Genomic DNA, 12,654 nt, shown 5'->3' on the forward strand with positions numbered 1-12,654 from the left:
ATGTAACTATTTGAAATCTTGAGGGCTTCTATAATGGAAGCTAGTGGAAACAAGACATTCGAAATACAAATTTCATACATCAAAGAGTTTTAAAGATTTAGATTCATGAGCTTATGAAATCTTATTTTTAAACTACTTTACATGTTTTAATATGTAAATTATAAAAGCAAATATTTAAATATGTTTATTTGTTAATGTAAGTATACAGTTTCTTAGAATTGAAATTGTTACAATTCTATTAAATGCTATCCTTTTTGTTTGTTTGTTTTTAAGGTACCAGTATTTTTTGCAAATTAAACAAGACATTCTTACTGGAAGGTGGGCTCTTTAAATTTCTTAAAAAATTTTTTGTAATGGACTTTAAAAATACTTTTTAAATCTGTGTTAAGTAATTCATGGTCATTGCAAACAAATTATTTAAGAAGGTTACATGTAGTGTGAATTCCTTTCATCAGATAAGTTTATTTCTTAACAGTTAAAATCAAATCACATGAAACTTCAAGTGTGATTGTTTAACAAATTATAGCACTTTTGAAATTGCTATGTTTAACCTTCGGTTGTGTATTTTTGTTTTGTTTTATTAGATTACCCTGTCCTTCTAATACTGCTGCCCTTTTAGCTTCATTTGCTGTTCAGTGTAAGTATCAGCCCATTTTTAGGTCAAATAGCATATAACTGTGGTTTGTGTTGCTAGTACATTGGCTTCAATGTGGGAGTTCTTTAGAAATGTTGCTATATAGAAAATAGTGACTGCAGTGGAAATGTAATGAAATCTCCAGTTAGTTAGCAATTACTATGATTTTTGAAAAAATTTCCTCTGAAATTGAGACCAAGAAGAATGTTAAATGGATTGCTGTGGCTTGCTTAAGTGGTTATATTAGAAACATAAGTATTTTACATCCAGAAATAGAATTAATGGCATCGCTGATTTGACTATAATAATTTAAAAATTTGTTTATTAAAATGTGAATGTTTTCCTTTCATTATTAGCTGAACTTGGAGACTACGATCAGTCAGAGAACTTGTCAGGCTACCTCTCAGATTATTCTTTCATTCCTAATCAACCTCAAGATTTTGAAAAAGAAATTGCAAAATTACATCAGCAACACATGTAAGAGTTTTTTAGTTTTTTATTTGATAAACTTCTTAATGGCATTCTTTCTAGAGAAATGTTTGAAATTCTAATATGATGGCTGTATTTAATATAGAACAATTACTGTTACCTAAAATAATATTATCATAAAGAAATATAGGTGATCTATGCTAAAAAACGATTTCATAGAATATATGAAGCTCATTTTCATTTCTATTCAGAGCCATTAAGCTATCTGTAAACAGATATTTATTTGCTATTGTGTAATAGTCTAAATAATTTTAGAATATAAACAGTATAGTCACAATATAGAGATCAGTCTGCTTAGTAATTCTTTCTCAGTTTTTAGGTATAAAGGACTTGATTCTCCTTGGTAGTGAGCCAAGAGGAGAACAGGAACTCTATATAATACTGAATTAATTTTTAAAAAATATTTCTTTAAGAACAGTACAGGTTGAACATCCTTAACCCAAGAGTTTGAAATTCAGAGAGCTCTAAAATTTAAAACTTTTTGAGCACTGACATTACACCACAGTGGGAAATTCTGCACCTGATCCCATGTAATGGGTTTCAGTCAACATTCGGTGAAAACTTTGTTTCATACACAGAATTATTTTAAATATTATATAATATTACCTTCAGGCTATGTGTATAAAGTGTATATGAAACATAAATTTCATGTTTAGACTTGGTTTCTATACCAAGATATTGCATTAAGTATATGCAAATATTTCAAAACTTGAAAAAATCTGAAATCTGAAACACTTACGATCCCAAGCATTTCAGATAAGAGATACTTAACCTTATCAATATTCATTCATTAACAATATTCATTCAACTTTGATTTTTTTGTGTGAGTATAATTTTATATATTATTTTTTCAAAAGAGATTTGTTGCCTTGAATAGAAAGTAATATTGTTTATTGGTTCAGAATTCAGTTGTGCTTCAATATACAATTCAGAATACTCAGGGAAAAACTAAGGCAGTGTTGCGTATTGGCTAAGAGTCTGAACTAAAGAGCCAGACTGCCTGGTTTGAAATTCTGTAAGATTACTTACTATCTTATAACCTTGGCCAAACTGTTTTATGCCTCTTCTTCTCTGTTTCCTTACGTAAACTGGGGATAATAAAAGTATCTATCTCTGGAGTTACTGTAGGTCTTAAATGAGTTTATATACATAAGGTTCTCAAAACCATACATAGCACATTGTAGGCACTGAAGAAATGTTAGCTGTTGTTATTATTAAGAAAACTTACTTTCTTTTACTAATAACTCATGTATCTAAAACAGGATAACAAACCATGGCCATTGAAACGGAGTCTCGCTCTGTTGCCCAGGCTGGAGTGCAGTGGCGCGATCTCAGCTCACTGCAAGCTCCGCCTCCCGGGTTCATGCCATTCTCCTGCCTCAGCCTCCCGGTAGCCAGGACTACAGGTGCCCGCCACCATGCCTGGCTAATTTTTTGTATTTTTAATAGAGATGGGGTTTCACCGTGTTAGCCAGGATGGTCTTGATCTCCTGACCTCGTGATCCGCCTGCCTTGGCCTCCCAAAGTGCTGGGATTACAGGCGTGAGCCACCACGCCCAGCCCCTATTGCCTATTTTTATATGGCCCACAGGCTAAGATTGTTATGTAGATTTTAAGTGGTTGCAGAAAATCAAAAGAAGAATAGCATTTTGTGGCATGTGAAATTTTGTGAAATTCAGTGTTCATGAATAAAACACTTACTGGAACACAGATACCCTCATTCATTTATATGTTGTCTATGGCTGTTTTCGCACAATGGCCAAGCTAAATAGTTGCCACAGAGACTGTATGTCCTAAAAGCCTACAATATTTACTGTCCAGCCCTTTGCAATAAAAGGTTTGCTGATTCCTGATCTAAAATAGACTAATGACTGAGTTTTTAATGGACTACCTAATGTGGTGAGGGGGCTATTTTAATCTAAGTAAATTCCATTCATAGTGAAAGTTATACATACAGCATATCAGAATCAAGAGTTTGAAGATAAGCCAGATTTTTTTAAATTTACCGATAATGAAAAGACTCTTAAGGAAAAGCTTATTGATTATATATATCTATTTGGTTTAAGTAAATGATTCATCAGATCTTTAAATGAAGAAAAACAGAAGTATCCACTTTAACTGGAGGGAGTATATATTTAATTTAATTTTATAGAAATTGGAAGTGTACTGTTTTTTTTGAGGAGTCGTGTTATGATCATGCATTAGCGGGCTGTTGGCTCCCTTTTCTAGTAGCATTAGTGAATAGAAAGTTTGTATCTTTGTTTTTGTAATTTGCTGCTTTTGCTCTGCTGTAGTCTGATAATAACAGATAACTAAGGTTGTAAAAACTATATGTGAAATAGGAGTAAATCTATTTTTAAAGGCCTTACATTTAGAGCAATGGTTCTTCAACTTGTGTTTATAAGAATCACTTGGTATTCTTGTTAAATATAAACAGTTTTGACCTCATCCTTTCTAAATCAGACTCTACAGAATAGTCTTCTTAAACCATCTGTGATGAAAGATGATTTCTTCCCCCCAGCTGTCATTATTGTGTTACTTATATTTTGTAGAATATAATAAAAATTAATTACTAGAAAAATAAAGTGGAGAAAGAAAACAAAGACGTAAAAAATACAAGTCCTCATTTGTTTGTTTTTTTGTTTTGTTTTTTTGCTGTTAGATTTAACAGATATTACCCAGGCAGATTGCTATACAAGCCTCCAACACTCAGGTTCCATACTGTGAATCAACCTCTGTCTGTGCACCACACTCTGAGAAGCACTGCCCTGGAGGTTGGCTTAGAATCTGCAAGTTTCAGAGATATCCTGTGTGATTTAAATGCAGATATGGTATATGAACCAAATTTTGAGAAATACTGCTTTTAAGTTATATCTAAAAGTGAGGGGTTTTGTTACAGTCACCCATATAAATAGTGAGGAGCTTTAAAAACTTGGTGTATTCTTGTATTTCTAGAAAATAAGACAGTATTCTGGAAAATAATAATTTGGGTTACTGAAAATGTGCCCTCCAGATAAGTTAGAGGAGTAGTCCTGCATGGTGTTTCATAGATTTAATTAGACTGCTCAGTTTTTTCAGATAAATAGCCTTTTTCTAATTTAGCCATATTTATTTGATTGATTGATTGATCTCATTTTTAACTTAATGATGTCTTTATAGAGGCTTATCTCCTGCAGAAGCAGAATTTAATTACCTAAACACAGCACGTACCTTAGAACTCTATGGAGTTGAATTCCACTATGCAAGGGTAAGTGAAGAAAACTTACTTTGATGTTGTTGAGTTAGGCTCCGTTACTCAATATAACATTTTTTAAGATTAGATAACAAATGGAATAAGTTATGATTGCTGCTGACACAGCTGCACTGAAAATTTCCTCTGAATTTAAGTATTTTCACAATAACTTAAGATTCAATTCCCGAATGTGAAGGATGGTTAATGTGGATTCTTCAAGGTAGTGTTTTATATGTAAAGATAATTTTTACAGACCGTAAGATATAGTACCTTTAGAATATTTATTTTAAAATATAATTGTTAGGCTATAGGAAAAGTGGCTTTTGTATACTTTTATAATAATGATCATTAAAAATGTTCTCACATCACTGAGGCCTGTATTAGTGCACTTACTTTGTTTTCATCATTTAAAAGCACTATTACGAGTTTTTATTTATAAAGCACAACATGGAGCATATTAACATTTTTATCTCCCCCCATCCCTGTAGTGAAGTGGAATTTATAGTCACTGACTTTTTCTATATTATACCGTGTGACTTCTTTTCCCTTGTGTCAAACATTGCTGCCTTTGAAAAACTGGTAACCTCCTGGCATAAGCATATTTGTGAGTGTTTATCCTGTATTTGTGTGTTTCCTCATGTTTTTCTTGAGTTCTCTATCAAAAGTTCTTGGAGTACAGCTATTCTATACCCAGTGAAAAGTGGAATTATAATCATCAGTTGAGTTGGTGATAGCGTTTATCTTCTCTTGGAAATGAATAGTTGAGCCTAAAAAGGATATCAACCTGAAAGAGAATTCAGAGCCAATATTTTTCTTAGATAATTATTTTCAATCATGTTAATACTCAGACACTCACAGGTACACAGATAGTTGTTGAAGTACTCAAAGTTCTACTTCATGTAATGGTTTTATCCTTTAGGACCTTACCTGACCATGTTCTGGGAGAGGAACATTAGTTCTTATGTTTCACAAAGCTTATGTCAATCTTTCCTTTAAAAGACCAGATGAATTGCTTTCCTCACATGATTTTATCTTGTAATTCTGAGTGTTACTTGGAAATCTTTTTGTCTGATTCCATTTAAAATGTGTCTCTTAGAAACCTTCAGCTTTCTTTTTTTTTTTCCTTCAACTTTTATTTTAAGTTCAACTTTCTGCTTTCTTTAAAATATGCCCCTTTATTTTCCTTCCTTATTTAGGGCCTATATCTTTTGAACATGATTCTTAAAAATGTAATGTACTGGTCAGTATTTGTGTAACTAGTTTGTTTTTTATTATAATAAAGTTTAAAACAGATGGAACTTTAAATATATGAATTAAACTATGGTTAAAAATAAAAAGGGGCTGGGCATAATGTATCATGCCTATAATCCGAACACCTTGGGATGGCGAGGCAGGAGGATTGTGTAAGCCCAGGTGTTCAAGACCAGCCTGGGAAACATAATGAGATCACATCTCTACAAATTTAAAAAATGACCTGGGCATGGTGGTGCATGCCTGTAGTCCCAGCTACTCAGGAGGCTGAGGCAGGAGGATCAGCTGAGCCCAGGAGTCTAAGGCTTCTGTAAGCTATGATCATGCCACTTCACTCCAGCTGGGGTGTCAGCAAGATCCTGTCCTTTCTTCTAGTATTTTTATAGTTTCGGGTATTACACTTTAGTCTTTCATTGTCTTGAGTTGATTTTTGTATATGGTAAGAGCTAGATGTCCAGTTTTCTTCCTCTGTATGTGGCTATCTGATTTTCTCAGAACCGTTTATTGCAGAGAATGTCCTTTCCCCAATGTAAGTTCTTGTTGACTTTGTTGAAGATCAGTTGGCTGTAAATATTTGGCTTTGTTTCTGGGTTCTCTAGTCTGTCCTATTGGTCTGTGTGTATGTTTTTATATCAGTACCATGCTGTTTTGGTTACTGTAGCCTTGTAATATATTTTGACATCAGGTAATTTGATGCTTTGTTCTTTTTGCTCCGGATTGCTTTGGCTATTTGAGCTCTTTTTTGTTTCTATATTAATTTTAGGATTGTTTTTTCTAATTCTATGAAGAACGATGTTGGTATTTTGATAGGGATTGCACTGGATCTGTAGAGTGCTCTGGCAATATGGTCATTTTAACAATATTAGTTCTTCAGATCCAAAGGCATGGGATTTTTTCTATTTGTTTGTGTCATCTTAAATTTTTCATCAGTGTTTTGTAGTTTTCCTTGTAGAGATCATTCACCTTCTTGGTTAAATTTATTCCTAGGTATTTTTTGTAGCTATTGTAAATGGGATTGCCTTCTTGATTTCTTTCTCAGCTAGATCATTATTGATGTATAGAAGTGCTGCTGATTTTTAATGTGTTGATTTTTACTGAATTTATTTATGAAATCTAAGCATTTTTGGTGGAGTCTTTAGGTTTTTTTTAGATATAAGATCATATCATCAGCAAAAAGAGGCCATTTGACTTCCTCTTTCCCAATTTGGATACCTTTTCCTTCTTTCTCTTGCCTGAGTGTTCTGGCTAGGACTTCCACTACTATGTTGAATAAGAGTGTGAAAGTGGGCATCCTTGTCTTTTTCCAGTTCTTAGGGGGAACAATTTCAACTTTTCTGTGTTCAGTATGATGTTGACTTTGGGTTTGTCATATATGGCTTTTATTATTTTGAGGTATGTTCCTTTTGTGCATTTGTTGAGATGTTGAAGTTTTTCAAATGCTTTTACAATGTCTTTTGAGATGGTTATATGGTTTTTATTCTTCATTCTGTTCTTGTGATATATCATGTTTATTGATTTGTGTGTGTTGAACTATCCTTACATTCCTGATATAATGTATTGTATCTGATTGTGGTGTATTATCTTTCTAACATGCTGTTGGATTTGGTTTGCTAGTACTTTGTTCAAGATGTTGGTGTCTGTGTTCACTAGGGATATTGGCCTGTAGTTTTCTTTTTTCTAGTTTTTGCATCTTTGTCTGGTTTTGGTATGATGCTAATGCTGACCTTATAGAATGAGTCAGGAGAATTCCCTCCTCTTCAGTTTTTTTTGGAATAGTTTCAGGAATGTTATTACTTCTTTGTGTGTTTGGTAACATTCAGCTTTGAATCCATCTGGTCCTGGGCGTTTCTGTGTTGGGAGACTTTCTTTACTGATTTCAATATCACTACACATTATTGGTCTCTTCAGGTTTTCTATTTCTTCTTGATTCAGTCGTGGTAGGTTATATGTTTCCAGGAATTCATTTCCTCTAGGTTTCCCAGTTTGTCAGCTTGTAGTTGTTCGTAATAGTCTCTGATGGGCTGGGCACAGTGGCTCATGCCTGTAATCCCAGCACTTTGGGAGGCCAAGACGGGCGGATCACGAGGTCAGGAGATTGAGACCATCCTGGCTAACGCGGTGAAACCCCGTCTCTACTAAAAATACAAAAAAATTAGCCGGTCGTGGTGGTGGGCACCTGTAGTCCCCACTACTCGGGAGGCTGAGGCAGGAGAATGGTGTGAACCCTGGAGGCGGAGCTTGCAGTGAGCCGAGATGGCGCCACTGCACTCCAGCCTGGGCGACAGAGAGAGACTCTGTCTCAAAAAGAAAAAAAAAGTCTTGATGATCTTTCGTATTTCTGTAGTATCAGTTGCAGTGTCTCCTTTTCATTTCTGATTTTACTTATTTGGGTGTTCTGTCTTCTTGGTTAGTCTAGCAGTTTATTAATTTTCTTTATCTTTTTGAAGAACCAACTTTTTGTTTCATTTATCCATCATTTTTTTTATGATCACTATTTCATTTATTTCTGCTCTGATCTTTGTTATTTCTGTTCTATTAATTTTAGGTTTGTTTTGTTCTTGCTATTCCAGGTTTTTGAGATGCATTGTTAGACTGTTAACTTGTAATCTTTCTCCTTTTTTTGTGTAGGCATTTATTGCTGTAAACATTCCTCTTATCAGTGCCTTTGTTGTATCCCACAGGTTTTGCTATGTTGTATTCCATTTTCATTTGTTTCAAAGAATTTTTTTATTTCCATCTTAATTTCTTAATTGACCCAATGGTCATTTAGAAGCATGTTGTTTAACTAATTTGTTGAGACTTGTTTTGTGGCCAAACATATGGCCTATCTTGGAAGATGTTCCATGTGCTTATGAAAATAATGCATATTCTGCATTGTTCAGTGGAATGTTCTGTAAGTGTCTGTTTGGTCCATTTGATCTAATGTTCAGTTTAAGTCCAATGTTTCTTTATTTTTTTTCTAGATTTGTCTAATGCTGAGAGTGAGGTGTTAGTCCCCTACTATTATTGTATTGCAGTCTGTGTCTCTCTTTAGATCCAGTAATATTTGTTTTATGAATCTGGGTACTCCAATGTTTGGTGCATATATATTTAGAATAGTTATGTCCTCTTACTGGGTTGATCTCTTTGTCATTATATAATGACCTTCTTTGTCTTTTTTTTTTAACTGTTCTTGAAATAATTAAAATCTGTTTTATCTGATAAAAGCTGAGGTACTCCTAACTTCTCATTTTCATTTGTATGGAGTATTTTTTTCCATCCCTTTATTTTCAGTCTATATGTGTTTTTAATGAAAAAGTGAGTGTCTTTTAAGCAACATATAGTTGAATTATGTATTTTAATCCATTCAGCCATTTTGTATCTTTTAAGAGGAGAATTTGATCTATTTACATTCAAAGTTATTGGTATGTGAGGTTTTGTTCTTTTCATATTGTTAATTGTTTTCTGGTTATTATATGTATTCTGTGTTTCTTTCTTTTTCTCTTATAGGTTGTTGTTTTGATGGGTTTCTGTAGTGATACTGTTTGAGTCCTTTCTCTTCCTCCTTTATATTTCTTTACCCATTAAGTTTTATACTTTTGTGTGTTTTCATGATGGTAAATGTCATCATTTTACTTCCAAGTTTAGGACTTTCTTGAGCATATCTTACAGAACTGATCTAGTGGTATAGAATTCCCACAGGATTTATTTGTCTGTGAATGATTTCATTTCCCTTTCATTTATAAGTGATAATTTTGATGGATATAGTATTCTGGAGTGGCAGGTTTTTTCTTTCAGCACTTTCAGTATATCATTCTATTGTCTTCCGGCCTATAAAATTTCTGCTGAGAAATTCACTGTTAGACTGGTGGGATTTTCTTTATAGGTGATGAGACACTTCTGCTATTTTTAGGATTTGTTCCTGAAGTTTCACTTTAGACAGTCTGATTATAATGTTCCATGCAGAACACCTCTTTACATTATTATCTGCTTGGGGGTACAAGTAACATGTAAATTTGGTCACCTTATCTTGCCTCAAATTTCAGGAAGGCTTTGCTCATTCTTTTTTCATCTCTTTTCTTTATTTTTGTTTGACTGGATTATTCTGAAAGACCTGTCTTCAAGTTCCAAGATTCATTCTTCAGACTGATGTAGGCTATTGTTGAAGTTTTCAAATGTATTTTGAATTTTTTTCAGTGAATTCTACAGTTTCAGTTTTTTGTTTGTTTGTTTGTTTGTTTTTGAGACGGAGTCTTGCTCTGTTGCCCAGGTTGGAGTGCAGTCGTGTGATCTCAGGTCACTGCAACCTCTGCCTCCCAGATTCAAGTGATTCTCGTGCCTCAGCCTCCCCAGTAGCTGGGATTACTGGCGCACGCCACCATGCCTGGCTAATTTTTTTTTATTTTTAGTAGAGATGGGGTTTCACCACGTTGGACAGGCTGGTCTCGAACTCCTGACCTCAGGTGATCCACCCACCTTGGCCTCCCAAAATGTGGGATTACAGGCATGAAACAGCTTCAGAATTTTTATTAGGTTCTTTAAAAAAATATCTCTTTGGTAAATTTCTCATTCATATCCTGAATAGTTTTCCTGACTTATTTGTATTGTTTTTCAGAATTCTCTTGGGTCTCACAGACCTTTCAAGTCAATAATTTGAATTCTTTATTTCATGCTGGGATTTTGAACTTTTCTTTTTGATTAAGATCTATTGCTGGAGAATTATTGTATTCCTTTGGAGATACCATATTTTCTTGCTATTTCATGTTTCCTGTGTGCTTACATTGTATCTGTGCAATAGTTGCTGCTGCTTATATTTGAATTTGCTTTTGTAGGGGAGGACTTTTTCCTGAAGATTTATCTGTGGTTTGGGTTGAGTAGGGTACATAGACTTCGATTCTGGCTGCATGCAGTAATATGGTCTCATTTATAGATATCGTAGACATAGCAGTGAGTAAAGTAGATAAAACTGAACCCTCCCAAAGCTTGCATTCTGTGGGGCAAGAAACAAAACTATAAATGAACAATTATGGGTATATCAGAGTATGTACTATTTGATTCCATTGAAGTTCAGTAACTAGCAAAATACCAGCCTATATTGATAGAAGTCAGAATAGCAGTCAGTTCTGGAGGAATGTTTATTAACTGGGAGACTCATGAGGGAGCTTTCTGGATTTTTCAAAATGTTCTATATATTGGTTTGTGATGGTTATGTTGGAGTGTAAATAGGTACGTGTATGTATGTGTGTAAAATTTTGAGTTGTACATTTAAGAAATGTGCATTTTACTATACAGTACTTCAGTTCTTTTAAAAAATTAAGCAGGTCATACATCAGATATTGATAGATGCTATGAAGAAAAGTTAAGCTGAGAAAGGGGAATTAAGACAAACAAATGAGGGATCAGGGAAGGTCTCACTGAGAAGGTAAACAGATCTGAAAGAGCCATGCAAACATCTGGGAGGAGATTATTCTAAGCAGAGGAAAGAGCAATGAAATAGTGTATATAGCAGTTCAAATAATAGCTAAGAGTTTAGTGTGGCTTGTGTAGTGCGAACAAGGAGAGGAGAGTATTAGGGCATGAGATCAAAGCAGACAAGAACTTTTAAGACTTTTTTTTTTTTTCCTTCTTTCTTTCTTTCTTTTGAGGCAGAGTCTTGCTCTGTCATCCAGGCTGGAGTGCATTGGTGCAATCTCAGCTTACTGCAGCCTTGGTCTCTTGGGTCCAAGTGATCCTCCCACCTCAGCCTTCCATGTAGCTGGGACCACAGGCATGTGTCACCATGCTGGTTGAATTTTTTTTTTTTTTTTTTAAGTGGAGATGGAGTCTTGCTATGTTGCTCAGGCTGATCTCAAACTTCTCAGCTCAAGCAATCCTACCTGCCTCGGCCTCCCAAAGTGCTGGGACTGCAGACATGAGCCACCACATCTTTATAAAACATTTTAAGGACTTTGGCTTTTAATTATAATCAAAACCATTAGAGAGTTTTGAGGCAATAAAAGACATGTTGTGAATTTACATTTTTAAAATATAACAATGACTTTTGTTTTGAGAGTATACTATAAGATACTAAGGGAAGAGACTGTTGGAGTGATCCAGGTGAAAGGTAATGGTTCTTGTAGTATTGGGGTGGTGGACAGTAATCAGATTTTGAATATATTTTGAATATGGAAGTGACAGCTTTTACTCATGTGTACTGGCTATGGGTGTGAGAGAAAAAGGATTTGGTAATTATTCCAAAGCTTTTGGCCTGAACTTTTACTAAGTTGGGAAAGACCTGGGAGAAGTAGATTTAGTAGAAGCATAAGTCAAGAATTTATCTTGGGACATGTTAAATTTGAAGAGACGTAAATCCTCACGAAAGAGGGGTAGGCAATTCAATTTATAGACCTGGAGTTGAGAGGAAAAGTCTGGACTAGAAATAATACATTTGGGAATTGTTAGCGTATAGTTAATAGTTAAAATCATGAGATGAGAGCACTGAGGAAGTAAATTTAGTAGATGTTGAAGAGAACAGGTCCTCAAAGTTAGAACACTTCAATGTTTAGAATTTGAAGAGATGAAGAAGAACCAGGAAAGAGAACCAAGAAGGAGCAGCCATTCAGAAAGGAGAGCCTTTCTTTCTATCAAAGACACAAATGTGTGTCTCTGAAGCCAAGTAAATCAGGAGCAGTCAGCTTTGTCAGATGATGCTGTTAGGTCAAATAAAATGAGGACAGAGAACTGGATTAGAAAAGTGGAGGTCACTGGTGACTTTTCAAGAGCAGTTTTGGAGGTGCAGTGATGGCCAAAGAGTGATGAGAGAATATGAAAAAAAAAACAAAAACGGAGAACAGTAATTTTGAGGGCTTTTGCTCTACAGGACACAGATAATAATAAGAGGAAACACCTATATAGCATTTACTGCGTGCCAGCCATCCTTCTTAGGGCTTTATGTATGTTAATCCCATTTAATCCTTACAACAGCCTTGTGAGGCAGGAGTATTATTATCTCCACTTTACAGATGAGGAAAATGAGACACGGAAAAGTTAAGTAATGTGACCATATAATCCCTATTTCTGTATTAAGAGC

The 12,654-nt window shown here is 34.6% G+C and overlaps 1 protein-coding gene across 1 annotated transcript in view; it reads left to right on the plus strand.

Annotated features, from left to right (window-relative positions):
• The window catches only part of PTPN4 (protein tyrosine phosphatase non-receptor type 4), a 224,978-nt gene that overhangs the window by 121,591 nt on the left and 90,733 nt on the right, over positions 1-12,654 (plus strand). The window contains exons 6-9 of the mRNA NM_002830.4: positions 274-318; positions 585-637; positions 991-1,111; positions 4,283-4,370. Coding sequence (NP_002821.1) covers positions 274-318; positions 585-637; positions 991-1,111; positions 4,283-4,370 — 307 coding nt within the window. The remainder of the gene's footprint in view (positions 1-273; positions 319-584; positions 638-990; positions 1,112-4,282; positions 4,371-12,654) is intronic.

This window comes from Homo sapiens, chromosome 2 (assembly GCF_000001405.40).
Source record: "Homo sapiens chromosome 2, GRCh38.p14 Primary Assembly".
Lineage (NCBI taxonomy): Eukaryota > Metazoa > Chordata > Mammalia > Primates > Hominidae > Homo > Homo sapiens.